Genomic DNA, 15,648 nt, shown 5'->3' with positions numbered 1-15,648 from the left:
CAAAATAAAACAAAAACAAAATAAAATTTAAATATGTCTCATCCACTCATGCCATGAATGGCTTTACATAATCAAGAAAGTTCAAACACTCATAGAATAAAAACATCTTAGATTAACAGTTATAAAATTAATGTCTCAAACTAAATCACTCTGGAATGGCAAATGATTAAGTATTTCTCTCTCACCTACTGAGTTTGCAGCTATCAGAAAAAGTTCTCACAAGAACAAGAAGGATGTATGACAATTCTCTTGATCATATGCTGACAAGAAAGATAAAGTATTAGTATTAGAAAGTATTGATTAAAGGCCGGGTGCTGTGGCTCACGCCTGCAATCCCAGCACTTTGGGAGGCCGAGGTAGGTGGATCACGAGGTCAGGAGTTTGAGACCAGCCTGGCCAGCATGGTGAAACCCCGTCTCTACTAAAAATACAAAAAAGTAGCCGGGCATGGTGGCGTGCACCTGTAATCCCAGCTACTCAGGAGGCTGAGGCAGAAGAATTATTTGAACCCGGGAGGCGGAGGTTGCAGTGAGCGGAGATGGTGCCACTGCACTTCAGCCTGGGTGACACAGCAAGACTACATCTCAAAAAAAAAAAAAAAAAGTATTGATTAATTGCATTATAAAAATTATTATAATAATAATTTAGTCCAAGCTTCTTTGTCATCATGAAGAATAAACAAAGGACATTGATTAGGGGCCAAGTGTAAAGTAGTTAATATATTTAAAGAGTTGGTTTAGAGCAAATCCAATATATATATATAAATCAGAGTTATTTGGAAAAAAAAAACAGATTCAGCAAATAACCCTGGTAATTACTAGTCTTGAGTTGACAATCAATACTCCATAGACTAAGAGTTAAATCAAATATCCTAAGGGCCATGTATACAACTCCCATGTGGGACAGACACAGCCAGCAAAATCCCAAAAGAAACAAACAGAAGTAGGCAAAGTCCTGGGAAAACAGTATAGTTGTCAATAAATTTATTTTTAAAAGTACAGCCCAGTGGCTCTGTGACTTGCAGATACCTTTCTTTACTCTCCTTCAGGCACTGCAGAAGAATCAAGCAATTGCATGTGCCATAGTGTTTTACAGAATTTTATGATTAAGATTGCTGTGTTTATGAAAGTAAGCTTACAAGACATAAGACATAAAAGAGCTTTCTTTGGTTGCTCTTTTCCCCGAGAACTGTAGTACTTGCAGCTTTAATTTTGATTTTCAATCAGTTTCAGCTGCTGAGGTGCTTAGGCGGTAGTGATGGAGGATAGCCAGTTATAGCAGACTGAGGCAGGCAGACATCAAGAATCTGGCTTATTAGAGCCAAGCATGGTGGAGCCCACCTATTATAGTCCCAGCTACGTGGGAGACTGAAGTGGGAGGATTATTTGAACCCAGGAGTTCGAGACTGGCCTGGGCAAAATAGCAAGACTTCATCTCAAAAAAAACAAAAGAATCTGGTTTATCTGGCTTATTAACCACAAAGTGGAATACAGTATATATTTGTATAGAATTTTTATATATTTCTATATTCAGGCAGCATGTTTTCTTAGGTTGGGTCCTTCTTGGCTTCAAAAAGCCAAATGCTTGAAAACATGTAAGGAGTAGTAGGTTGAACAATGGCCACCTAAATATATAAAGTTCTATCTCTGGAAACTGTGAAATTACCTTATTTGGGAAAAGGGTCTTTGCAGATGTGATTAAGTATCTTGAGATGAAGAGAGAGCCCTGTATTATTATCCAGGTGGGCCCTAAATCTCATCTCAAATGTCCTTATAAGATAGAGGCAGAGGGAGATATTTCACACAGGTAGTAGAGTACAAACACAGAGGAGAAGGCAATGTGAAGATGGAGGCAGAGATCGGAGTGATGTGAACATAGCCCAGTAATGCTGCCAGCCACTAAAAGCTGCAAGAGGCAAGGAATAGATCCTCCCTGAGTCCTTGGAGGGATGCAGATCTGCTGGAACAGCCTCTAGAACTGTGCGATAATACATTTCTGTTGTTTTAAGCCATCCAAACTTGTGATCATTTGTGACAGCAGCCTTAGGAAACAAATACGAAACACACTGAAAACTTGGTAGCCTGCTCTAAGCATGTACCACAGAACAACAAAAGATATGGATAACAAAGCTGTTTTTACATGTGACAAATCCCACACAGGTTCGCATCCCAGTCTTTTAGCATTAGCTCTGCTTACCTACTCTAGCAATTTCCTCATTGAGACCATTTAATTTCTGGTCAAGAATGGCTGAATGAGACTCCAAATTGCTCATGTATGCCTGATACTTTTGAACATCTCCTTGTAAGGAAGCCTTCAGTTTTCTCAACGACTCTAGACGATTCTTTAAGAGAAAAGAATATAACTTTAGTTATTCTTAATAACCATTCCATATTTTATTTTAAAGTAAAGCAATATTATTTAAATTTATTTTAGAGAAAGGTAGATTTGAGTTTTCCTTTCATTTTTAGAGGAAGTCAAAAGAACTAAAAGGGGACTACACTGTCAGTTTGAAATAGAAAAAAAAAAAAACCACAATTGCTAGGGTTGAAAAAGCACAAATATTTAAAATCTGGTATTTTACAACAACAGTTTGAGTGCTTCACTAATAATGCAGAAAATAAAGTTAGATAACTGGATATTAATATTTAGCTTTTAGAAAACTCAGGATACAATATACTATATAAACCCATTTATTAACCATTCCTTTTGCACTACCTCCAAAACTCAGGGCTTCTTGTGACTAATGCTCCCTAGAGGTATATAACACAGGGCCTTTGTTCAAAAGTACTTTTGATCTTATGTAAGTAGGTAAGAATCTTTCATCATATCCAGAGCACCATTAGTCTAAGACTGATAGACCGCAAGGGAAAACAAGGCTCCACAGATACCAAACATGTTTTCATTGGGAGTTTCTAGGTGAAAATTTAACTTTTAAGAAGCTTAATTTGTTAATCTATTTTTTAAAATTTTGATAAAGACAGCTAATATCCAAGGACACCCAAAAGTCTAAAAGAGCTCTCAAGTAAGTGTGTAAACATGTTTACTAACCGGTTCTTTTTCTCTTTCTTGTTCCAATCTTGCAATCTGTTCATTCAATGCTCTGTTTTTTGCTTCTAATGATTCCAGCTTAAAAGCATCCACATTAAATAAATCCTCTGGAGACAAAATCCAAAAGCTTTTTAAGACCTCAAATCCGCCTAGAACATTCTTTCCCAAGTTTTCACCATTACTCCCTCCCTCACTTCCTTCTGGTCTCTGCCCAAAACACTATTAGTGAAGTACATCCCATCCTTGTAAAACAGCAAACCCTTTCCATTACTCCACCGTACTTCGACTCTCCTTGTCCTGCTTGATTTTTCTCCAAAGCGCTTATCACCATTTGACTTAAAGTTGCTCATTTCATTATTTTCCTCTTTCTGTCTACTAAAATGTAAGCTCATAAGGGCAGAGGTTTTTATCCTATTCATTACTGTATCCTCAGTGCCTAAATGGTGGCTGGCACATAGTAGGTATACAAAAAATATTTATTTGAATAAATGAATGCAGTTTTTATGCTTGGTTAATTATATACAGAAATATCAAATTACTCATTAGATGCTTAGATCACTCTAAATTTTCCTCTCTTAAAACAAAGCCATTTATTTTGCTCCCTTTCCCATGTGAACAAGCTGAAATTGTCCTGGTTACTCTTCAGGAAGATACAATCCCAGGGGACTATAAGGGAATGCTTTCAGCTTTTGTGATAATACTGGCAAAGTGATTGATTCCATTGTTGGAGGAATAGCTTCACCTCCATTTATCTATTTTACCTTCCATTTTGGCATTTTATATACAAGACTATTTCAATAGAAAGAATGAAAATGTAAAATAATACCTCTGGAATGTTTTAGAGTTATCTAGTAAATACTGTATGTCACTAGGTTGTAAATGAGTAAAAAAAAAAAAAGATTTTCCTTACATATTTGGAAGTATAATGTCTTGTTAACTTTTTGCCACAAATTTTGAAAGAGACCTTAGGTCTTTTGACTAATTGGTGCTTTAATTTCTCAAATAGTAAGCAAGGACAACGTAGGGATATTATCCCCCAAGAGGAATAGCATTTGCTAATTATTGTCTATGCTTCTGGTAGCATGTTTGGTATATTATGACTTTATTATACTGTCATCTACTGCTGCTACACTTTGTCAGGAGGTCAAGTATTTTATTAAGGCGCCACAGACAGTAAGATGTTATGGCTCAGGTCTGGCTCCAACACTAGTATTCTTTTTGTTTAACTTCTCTCCACCAAAGAAACCACAAAGATAAAAATCAGTAGGCATCCAGATACATTTAAAGTAAGTAGCTCATATGAACACTGGATATGGTAAATAAATTACCACTCCATGAGCAGAGTGAAATGACCAAAAGCAAGCACCCTAAGAACGAGAACACTTACTCAGTTTTGACTGCAGCTCTGCATTCATCTCATCAAAGCTGTCGGCACCACTCATAAAACTCTCATAGCATTTTATGGTGTAGTCCAAAAACAACTATGGGGTTAAGCAGATTTTAGAAACAAAGTTATGATTCTCTATTTGGTCTGTTTCACTTTTCTAGGTGGAAATTTATATTTGAATTTAAAAAATAGTCAGAAATACTAAGTAGTCAGATGAACCTATAAATAAGAGACAAAAACCTAGGCTATATAATTATGCTATATGGACTTATTTAGTCTGCTACTTCTAAATATGAATAATGAGGATAAAATAACACTTAAATTTGGATAAAGGCAATATTTAAAAACAGCCATACCTTCAGAATTTTGAGAAGGTCAAACAAACAGGGAAGCTTATTAATAAATGTAATTCAACATAAAATGCACAAACTTAATCATCTTTAGGAATAAAGCACCTGATGAAAAATTTAAATAAACTGCTGATCATCTAAGTCCAATTGAATTGATAAGGTCTAATTGTAAAAACCCAAATGTAATTAATGAAGGCTACAATTACATTGTAACTTCAGGCTAAAAAATGAATTGCATGATGAGTAGCAATCTAAACAGTACAATACTAGAATTCTTAACATTTATCCAAGAGAAAATAACACTATATTTTGCATTCATGAGATGTTTTGGTCACTGAGAATGTAGACTTTATGAGAAGGCAAGAATGGATGATCAGAATTTTCCATACCTTAGATGAAGTAAATATCCCTCAAGACAAACCAATTCCCTTTGTGCTAATTCATTGCTTATTAAGGTGACCTTGAAGTGAGTACCCTGAATAGGCAGTCTGAGTATTCCTGTAACTGGAAAGGTGTATCACTGATGGTAAATTAATACATTTTCATTCTCCTTCAGATCAGTTGCTGTGAATTTGGTTAAGACTGAATCAGTTTCCTTAAGCTTGGTCAATTTTGATCTTATAGGTTTAAAAATATCGAGTTTGTGGACTCACAAAGCTGAGTATCGGAAACTTGTGAAGCCAGATACTCTGACAACTTTCTTTAATTACAAAGAGTACTTTATAGTTTCCCATGTGCTTCTCTATATATTGTCATTTGAAATAATAGCTATAATAGCTCAGAGAGCAAGAATAATTTTTTAACCTTTAGGATGGATGTCAAGACATTTAACACTTTTTTTTTTGAGACAGGGTCTCACTTTGTCACTCAGGCTGCAGTACAGTGACATGATCTTGGCCCACTGTAGCCTTGACCTCCTGGGCTCAAGTGATCCTGCAGCCTCAGCCTCCCAAGTAGCTGGGACCACAGGCACGCACCACCACACCCAGCTAATTTTTGTACTTTTTGCAGAGATGGGGTTTCGCCATGTTGCTTAGGCTGGTCTTGAACTCTGGAGCTCAAGCAATCTGCCCACCTCGGCCTCCCAAAGTGCTAGAATTACAGGTGTGAGCCACTGTGTCTGGCAAGACATTTAATACTTAATAGATGTTGTAATGTACTTGGGTGAAAACTGAGGGGTAATTAGAGGCAGCCCAATATACATATTGCAATGTGGGAGGATAATTTTCTCAAGGGTGGGATCAAAGGTTTTCTAGGAGCCTTTCCAACTGGGATCATTGTTGAAGTAGTAAAGGCGCATGTTTATTTTTTGTTAAAAAGAAAAAGGCAATGATGCCAACACTAGTCAGTTGATGTATCTTTGAACTACATCCCAGGCAGTCATAAAAGATGGGACTGAAATTATTTCCACTTTTCTTTTGTGACAAAAGTTTCAAAGAATGAAGGTTAGAATTAGAACAGAGAATAGTTTTTCTTCTAAGTGGCCCATGTGATGACTAGTTTTTTATGTATGCTAGGAAGTATTAATGTATAATCTTAATGTTTCCTTTATCTCAACCACTTTTGGAAGTGGCGACTCTGGGCTAAGGGGCAATATGTCTAATGAAAAAGGTCAAAACAAAATAAACAACCTATCCACGTGCAATATCTTAAGACTTAACCTATTATGTTTTGTGTTGACAAAGAATTACATTAAAATAATGTTGCCAATACTGATATCTTCATTCCACGACATAAAGGAGGAAAAGAAACATTACGTCTATAACATATAACATGTTATGATTTAATTCCAATCCCCTTCCATTTTTTACTTAGTTAAAATTTTCAAATTTTTGTGCCTAGTTATTTTTAAGAAATTATAATGTGATTCAAACAGATCCATTAATATTAAAAAAAACAAATTTATAATGTTTTCAGGAAGCAAAAAAACAACTCTACAGAAGAATATACAGACAATCCCTGACTTAACGATGGTTTGACTTCAGATTTTTCAGCTTTCTGATGGTGCAAAAGCAATGGAGTAGAAACCATCCTTCAAGTATCCATACAACCTTTTTGTTTTTCACTGTTAGTATAGTATTCAATAAATTACAAGAGCTATTCAATACTTTATTATAAAATACGCTTTGTGTTAGATTAATTTTGCCCAACTGTAAGCTAGTTTAATTGTTCTGAGAATGTTTAAGGTAGGCTAGGCCAAGCTATGACGTTTGGCAGGTTAAGTGTATTAAATGCATTTTTGACATGATATTTTCACCTTACAGTCGGTTTATTACTCTATCATAAGTCGAGGGGCATCTGTATTAAATCCAATAGTGACACAATAATATCAAGGCAATTCATTATTACAGTTTATGATAATACATGGTACCTTATTATGCATAATTCCATCTTCAGTTTCTTCTCCCCAAGGCTGCCCATCATCAAATAAAGGTGAGCTTTCTTTCATGGCAGTATGTATCTAATTAGTACACAAGCAAGAAAAGCAAGTTGATCTGAAAAACACAACTTTCATTTTTTGGCAAATTCTGTTTTCAGTGTCAATTTTAGAAGCATTTACATTATTGTGTAACTAAAAGTCTCTTTTGATAGGTTATTATATTGAACATTAACACTTTTGACTTTCTTTCGAATAAAACAATTTGCAGGTATCCTTTCGATAATTTCAAAACCCTTTTGTTTAGTAACTAAACTCTTCAGGATCTAGAAAGGATGGACTCTATATTTACTTCTGTTCTACAGAGAAAAATGTTGACCTTTATGCTGTTATTAACCCAGTAAGTGCAAATATACACATTTTAATGCAACTTTAACTAAGAATCCAAAACAGAATTGCCACATAAAAGGTGAGCCAATAATAATTTTTCTCTTTGAGCTCAATTCTGGTGCTCAAATGTTAATCGAGTAACTCCTTCAGTATGTACAATATGAACTTTAGATGAAATTTTACAATAGAAAATCTTTAGAAATACAATAGTTTAAACTGCAAGTGATAACATAAATTATAGCAAAACATTCAGATGGTTAAAATTGACAAGCCAAAAGGAAAATAGTTAAAGGTTTTTAAGGCATAGAAATTCCATTTTGGAATGCCTGTTTTTATATCTTCTTTTAAAAACATAACATTTAAAACATGAAAAAATAGAAAATTTAAATGAAATTACTATAAATATATAAAAATGTAGATATAAACACAGATATACTAGATATAAATATATTATCTATTAATATCTATTATCTTGATATAGAGATATCTAGATATAAATATGTATTTTTTTTTTTTTTTGAGACGGAGTCTCACTTTGTCACCCAGGATGGAGTGCAGTGGTGCAATCTCAGCTCACTGCAACCTCTGCCTCCTGGGTTCAGGTGATTCTCCTGTCTCCCCCTCTGGAGTACCTGGGATTACAGGCATGAGCCACCATGCCTGGCTAATTTTTATATTTTCAGTAGAGACGGGGTTTCACCATGTTGGCCAGGCTGGTCTCGAACTCCTGACCTCAGGTGATCCACCCGCCTTGGCCTCCCAAAATGCAGCGAATAACAGGCATCATGAGCCACTGCACCTGGCCAAGATATCAATAGGTATCTAATAGTATAATGAACACTAAGTATAAGAATACTAACTTCTAAGAAAAGGACTATGCGTTAGGAGTACATAAAAGAAGAATGGGGTTTCGCATACAGGATTTCTCAGGGAGACAATGTCCTCAGCCTAGAGTTGTTTGCCCTGCTACCCCTTTCCTATTCTAAAGGCATTCAGAAGATTCTTTGTTTATCTAAGGCGGATGCAGAAGAGCTCTAACAACTGGGTCTTCTACCTTGTCTTTTTTCGACAAGGCCTCAGGTGGCAGACAGATTTTTTTTTTTTTTTTTGAGACGGAGTCTCCCTCTGTCGCCCAGGCTGGAGTGCAGTGGCTGAGATCTCGGCTCACTGCAACCTCCGCTTCCTGGGTTCAAGCGATTCTCCTGCCTCAGCCTCCTGAGTAGCTGGGATTACAGGTACCTGTCACTATGCCTAATTTTTGCATTTTTAGTAGAGACGGGGTTTCACTATATTGGCCAGGCTGGTGTCGAACTCCTGACCTCAGGTGATCCACCCACCTTGGCCTCCCAAAGTGTTGGGATTACAGGCATGAGCTACTGCGCCCGGCCAACACACAGATTTAATAATGTCTGAAAGACATGTAGGGCAGAACCCAAGATAAGGAACAGAATCTTATATCTTGTCATCAGGGTAAAGACAGCTTCTGTCACCTTGCCAAGGGCCTTATGAAAACTCTTGCTACTTTGCAAGATTCAAGGAGAGTCTTACACAGGGACATACAGATCCCCAAGAGCTATAGAAAAGACTACTGAAAGGACTGAAGAATTGTGAACTAGGAAGACTGGTTGAAATAGTTTCAACCTGTAATTATAGATATAAAAAGTATAGATTTGAATCATGTTTTCATTGAAAGGTGGCGTTTTCCACTCTAACACCACTTCTTAATATTGTGAAACATCAGAGGAGGAAAAGGACACAGAGGGATCTGGGATAAGTCAGGTCCAAGTCCACTTTGATCACTAACCAAAAGGCTAACAAGACGCTCCTGAAGTGTATGCAACCCTCCTATTTATGGTCCTTAGTAGAGAAGACTTAGTAACTTTAGCTAAATTATTATCACTTAGACACTGTAATAAGGACTGATTATGTGCCAAGTTCTGTGCAAGGAGGCATAGTGAAATAGGAAATCAAAGTTTATTTACAAAGCATGAACAAACAATTTAGGAGCATAACAAATGAATAATAAACAATGAACAAATAGAGGTCATTAGGAAATCAACATATTAGATCAATAGGTCAAGATAACAAGAATAATCTCAATACATCCTGCAAAAGCATAGGATAACCTTCAAAGATCATTCTTTGATAAAAGTGAATAAACTTCAACATGCAAAACATTATCTTCTACTGAATATATCATACTAAACGATACAATGAAAAATATTTAATTTAAAAACAGTGGTTAGTAATAGAAATCAACTGAGAACAGTAGTTGTAATAAAGCAATTCAATAAGGGTAGTAAACACAAAAAACTCTTTTAGTAATAATCACCATGGAAATAGAATTAAAAAAAGAGAGTCTGTTCATCATAGTAACAAAACACATGGCATTGATAAAAAATATGTTGTTTGATATTAAGAAAACTACATGGCCAGGCATGGTGGCTCACACTTGTAATCCCAGCACTTTGGGAGGCTGAGGCAGGTGGATCACCTTAGGTCAGGAGTTCAAGATCAGCCTGGCCAACATGGTGACACGCTGTCTCTACTGAAAATACAAAAATTAGCTGGGCGTGGTGGTGGGCACCTGTAATCCTAGCTACTTGGGAGGCTGAGGCATGAGAATTGCTTGAACCTGGGAGGTGGAGATTGTAGTGAGCTGAGATCATGCCACTGCATTCCAGCCTGGGCAACAAAGCAAGACTCTGTTTCAAAACAAACAAACAAACAAACAAACAAACAAACAAACAAAAAACCACCATAGAACGAAAAAACAAAAACAAAATCTTAATGAAGGAACAAAAAAGATGAACAAATGAGATTTAACACTTTCCCATATGACAAGATTAAATATTGACAGGATGGAAATTTCCCCTTATATATCATGAATTCAATGTTATGTCAATAATAACAAAATCACAAGATTTTGTTAAAATCTGAAAAAATAATTTAGAGAGTGAGGATACGACAATAGCTAACATTGTGAAAAGAAGTAAGAATGTTCATCTTCTAGATAAAATATATTAGAAAGTGACAGGAATTAGTATGGTCATGAAGCAGGGATAGAAAAAAAAGATCAGAGAAATAGGTTTAATTAAGAACATACTAGTGACAGTTCAAAACTGTGGGGAAAATATTATTTATTTTTGAGATGGAGTTTTGCTCTGTTGCCTAGGCTGCAGTGCAGTGGTGTGATATCGGCTCACTGCAACCTCCACCTCCTGGGTTCAAATGATTCTTGTGCCTCAGCTTCCCAAGTAGCCGGGACGGCATGCACCATCACACCCGGCTAATATTTTTGTATTTTTAGTAGAGATGGGGTTTTGTCATGTTGGCCAGGCTGGTCTCTAACTTCTGATCTCGGGTGATCTACCTGCCTCAGCCTCCCAAAGTGCTGGGATTACAGGCATGAGCCACAGTGCCCGACCAATATCAGTTTTTCCATAAATGGGACTGTGATACATGAGTGAATTATTTAAAAAAGAAGGCCTTCTCTTTCTTATACTAAAATAAATTGGAGATGAATTAAGATTTAAACACAGCACAAAGAAGCCATACAAAATACTACGAGAAAATTTGTAAAATTGTTTTTAAAAAACACTGGGGAGGAAAAAAGGCCTTCCTAAATGTGGCTTAATTTCTAGGCTTATGTTAAGTAAGAAAGAAAATTAGAAAAAGAAACCTGCAGTCTCTCACGGATTAATACATCACATCATGCAAAGCAATATAAAAAGGAGGGGATTCCAACTTAAATAATGGGCTTGGAGGGCCGGGCGTGGTGGCTCATGCCTGTAATCCCAGCACTTTGGGAGGCTGAGGTGGGCGGATCACGAGGTCAGAAGTTTGAGACCAGCCTGGCCAAGATGGTGAAACCCCATCTCTACTAAAAATACAAAAAATTAGCCGGATGTGATGGCGGGTGCCTATAATCCCAGCTACTCGGGAGGCTGAGGCAGAGAACTGTTTGAACCTGGGAGGTGGAGGTTGCAGTGAGCCGAGATTGTGCCACTGCACTCCAGCCCAGGCGACAGAGTGAGACTCGTCTCAAAAAAAAAAAAAAAAAAAAAAAAAAAAATCTGATGGTGAGACCAAAAAAGTAGTTATCAAATGTCCATGGGCATCACCGGGGAGAGACAAATTGAATGCATAAATGTTATATATAAAGTCCAATGAAACTTGGATTTTTATTAATGGGCTATGGCATTGGAATTCTACTCTCTTGACAATGGGTGGTACTGTATGTACCAGCATGGCTCCTGGGTCAAAATCCATATACCCAGTGCCTGCCTTCATTTAGTTAAAGCCTTGCTGATGGCCAAGACAATGTCAGGGGAACAGTATTAGCTTTAGGAATTCTAGCACTAAGTAGGACAGGAAACTCAGAAGCTACAAAAGGAGAGACTGCATTAAATTAGATAAAAACTCACATTTCTGAACAGATAAAACAGCACATGAAATTAAAAAAAAAAAGAGAGAGAGAAAAAAATTGCTTGCACCATATAGAGAGGAACTAATTTCTCTGACTCGACCATTTTTGACTTGCAAAATGGCACCCTTGCAAATCAACACAAAAAAAAATCAGAAGAGTAGATATTATAATAAATGTAAAAAATTCACCTTTAAAAACAAAAAATGTAAATAAGAAAAAATTAGCTGTCAATTTTTTTTGCTTGTTGTGTTGCCAACTATTAAAACCATCAGTAAGTTTAATATATAAAGATTCAAATTCATGGCAAAAAGCAAAGGTGAAATAAAACTTGCCTGAAAAACCATGTACAAGCAAGTTAAAAGAAAAATAACCATATAAAAACATAAATTGTTTAAATATATATACATACACACATATACACATATACACACACATTTATATATAAACAAGCTATTTTTCACCTCCTAAATTGATAAAGATTTTAAAACAACAATGCTAACAGTTTGGAAAAATGGGTATGCTCAAACATTGTTGAGCTTTTAATTGGTACAAGTTTTCTAGAGAAAAATTTGTCGGTATGTATCAAAAGTTTAAAAAACATACATATAGTACTTTGCACAGCAACACACACTTTTAAACTATATCACAAGGGGCCGGTCATGGTGGCTTAGGCCTGTAATCCCAGCACTTTGGGAGGCTGAGGCGGGCAGATCACCTGAGGTCAGGAGTTTGAGACCAGCCTGGCTAACATGGTGGAACCCCGTCTCTACTAAAAATAGAAAATTAGCCAGGCATGGTGGTGCATGCCTGTAATCCCAGCTACTCAGGAGGCTGAGGCAGGAGAATTTCTTGAACCTGGGAAGCGGAGGTTGAAGTGAGCTGAGATCATGCCACCGCACTCCAGCCTGGGCAACACAGCGAGACTCCCTCTCAAAAACAAAAAACAAAACAAAACAAAATATCACAAGGAAACATTTTATGTTATTGTCTGAGTTTGGAGATTATGGTTATATCACTGTATTCTCCAAACTTCTTGCAGTGAATATGGATTTTAATTAAAAAGGGTAAAAACGAATTTCATGAGGGAAAATAAAAAATGAATTTCCTATTGACTCATTTTTTTGAGTTGTAAAACCTCATGATAATAAATAATCTCCTTATCAATTGGTACTTTCTTCCTTTTACCTTGTGATAATAGTTTGAAAAACTTAAAATCAAATGTGCTTTGAAAAATGAAAACTCTGAAGCAGACTTTGAGAATACTGTCAAAAGACTGGGAGAGAAAATATTTTTTTTGAGGAAAAAAACCCTTTCCCATGTATACATTTCAAAAGAACAAATCAAATACCTTGATGCAGTCTATTAGCCAAACTAAGGCTGCCACAATGTGAGGCCATGTATGAGGAGCCCCCACTGTGTACATGGAGCTTTTGGATAGTGCAAAAGGATACCTATGAGAAATCAGAAAAACATAAGCTAATTTAATGTTATTATAATTTAGTAAAGATAATGGTTAATCAAGAAGTTACATTTAAAAAATTCCACATACACACTCAGTCTTGACTTGTTTAGAGGTAAGATATGTTAGGATTCTATCCTTAGTCATCTTATCTCTGTGTATTTCTCTGTAGATTACTTTGTACATCTATCCCCGAAGCTGCAGAACTTGACCTATACAACCAATATGCTGGACTACTCTCCCAAAACATCTTTTGTTCCCTCAAATTCAATATACCCCCAATAAATGACATGTATGTACACCTCCAAATCCATTCTTCCCACTTTCAATTTCATCACACTCTGTTTTCACCAGGCGTGAATCCTGTTTTTTTTTGTTTTTGGCTTCTGTAAAATCTGTGGTATCCAGTCTGTCTTTTCTATTCTCTGTCACTTCAGCAGTTCAGGGCTTTATATTCTGTCTTCTGTTGCTCTGTAATAATCTACGAGTAGTTTTTTTTTAAACAAAGAAAAGTGGATTTTATCCGTCTGTACCCATCATCAAACTTGATCAGTTACTAACAATTTGTTAATCCTTCTTGCTTCTACCACTAGCAATTTTTATTTGTTTTTTTGTAAGCAGTTGCTTTTTTTCTCTTCAATTTATCCTACATATATTGCCCACAGTGGTCATCTTAAAACATATTATTTCTGTAACTCAAACTTTTTACAAATTGATTTAATTTGTTTCATCTCTGTGTGCCAGTCATGTCTCTAAACTAATAAGAAATATACATACCCAAGGTCTTTAAAGATTCTTGGAACCTCTTCTTCAAACTTTGTGTCAGGAAGTTCGTATGAGGGGCACAGGAAGCCATAAAGAAATGTGAAGATCTTCAGGAAGTCTTTAACAGAGGGAGCTTGTAGAGATTTCATGGACACATTATGTGCATAACCATTTTCTGTAAGAAACTACAATAATTTTTATGAACCACCAAACGTTTTGTAATGGAAAATTATTGGAAAATACCTATGACAACAATCACAGTTTAGATTAAAATCCTAAAGTACCTCACAGAGTTGTCGAATACACTGCTGAATGAATGCTTTGTCATTAAGTGGTCTCGGGTCCTTGATTTTCTCAGAACTGGAAAATATACCAAGTTGACTATTCCGGGATCCATGTCCACTAGTTCTGGAAATATATTTTTAAACAGCCAGTTAAAACTATTTGCTTCTGTGATCAAGTCTAAATTATTTCAAGGCAGTTTTGCATTTTAACATCAACATCAAACATTACGTTCTTATAACTAAACAGAATTCTCTTATTTAAAGCAGAGAAAAGGAGCAAATAACGAAGAGTAAAATATGAGGTTACAGCAGTTAAAGATAAGGATGTAAAACGAGGCAAGAATAAACACACACTTGGCCAGGCACAGTGGCTCATGCCTGTAATCCCAGCACTTTGGGAGGCTGAGGCGGTGGATCACGAGGTCAGGAGTTCAAGACCAGCCTGGCCAAGATGGTGAAACCTCGTCTCTACTAAAAGTACAAAAAAATTAGCCAGACGTGTTGGCAGGCACCTGTAATCCCAGCTACTCGGGAGGCTGAGGCAGGAGAATTGCTTGAACTGGCGAGGCAGAGGTTGCAGTGAGCTGAGATCGCGCCACTGCATTCCAGCCTGGGCGACAGAGCGAGACTCCATCTCAAAAAAAAAAAAAAAAAGCGCAGACAGTATCAGTACCTTCTCACAGGGCAGTTCTGAGGATTGATTGAAAGATTTAATATAGATAAAGCACTTAAAACAATGTCTGGCCTATAGGAATGCTCCACAAATATTAGATTTTGTAATTACTATCATCTCTAAAGTTTAGCTCTGAGATGAATTACATTACAAAAATACCTTAAGATTTTTCATCAACTGAAATAAATACCAAAAATGGAAGTTTAAACCAATGAAACCAAATTGGTTTCATGGCAGAGACTTTTTTAAAAGGTGACAAGTACTTCATCTCTAAATATTTTCAAAAGAATGGAAGAAACAGGTTTGTCTTAAAGTTATATTTTGTTTTGGTGAGACAACAACATAATTTATTGTCTTAATTTTGGGGTTGAACTTTTTTTTAAAGGTATCTATTTTATTGACATAATTTGTTTAGAATAAAATGCGCCTGTTTAAAGCATACAGTTTGATGAAGTTTGACAATAAACGCATTTGTGTCACTTATGC

At 36.2% G+C, this 15,648-nt stretch overlaps 1 protein-coding gene across 1 annotated transcript in view, besides 1 other annotated feature; it reads right to left on the bottom strand.

Moving 5' to 3' along the window:
• The window catches only part of NDC80 (NDC80 kinetochore complex component), a 45,079-nt gene that overhangs the window by 24,277 nt on the left and 5,154 nt on the right, over positions 1 to 15,648 (bottom strand). Inside the window, exons 4-10 of the mRNA NM_006101.3 lie at positions 14,490 to 14,613; positions 14,218 to 14,390; positions 13,330 to 13,432; positions 7,157 to 7,246; positions 4,436 to 4,529; positions 3,049 to 3,155; positions 2,197 to 2,341 (exon numbers count right to left, since the gene is read on the bottom strand). Coding sequence (NP_006092.1) covers positions 2,197 to 2,341; positions 3,049 to 3,155; positions 4,436 to 4,529; positions 7,157 to 7,246; positions 13,330 to 13,432; positions 14,218 to 14,390; positions 14,490 to 14,613 — 836 coding nt within the window. The remainder of the gene's footprint in view (positions 1 to 2,196; positions 2,342 to 3,048; positions 3,156 to 4,435; positions 4,530 to 7,156; positions 7,247 to 13,329; positions 13,433 to 14,217; positions 14,391 to 14,489; positions 14,614 to 15,648) is intronic.
• Positions 2,026 to 3,225: an enhancer, noted in NCBI's record as "MED14-independent group 3 enhancer chr18:2589133-2590332 (GRCh37/hg19 assembly coordinates)". NCBI's record gives its function as "activates an origin of replication core promoter dependent on BRD2, BRD4, P300/CBP and CDK7 cofactors, and independent of MED14, by STARR-seq in HCT116 cells {active_cell/tissue: HCT116}" and the evidence as "EXISTENCE:reporter gene assay evidence [ECO:0000049][PMID:35650434]".

The sequence above is a fragment of the Homo sapiens genome, chromosome 18, assembly GCF_000001405.40.
Source record: "Homo sapiens chromosome 18, GRCh38.p14 Primary Assembly".
Taxonomy (NCBI): Eukaryota; Metazoa; Chordata; class Mammalia; order Primates; family Hominidae; genus Homo; species Homo sapiens.
Note: the sequence above shows the minus strand (reverse complement) of the source record. Positions and strands in the feature narration are given on the sequence as shown.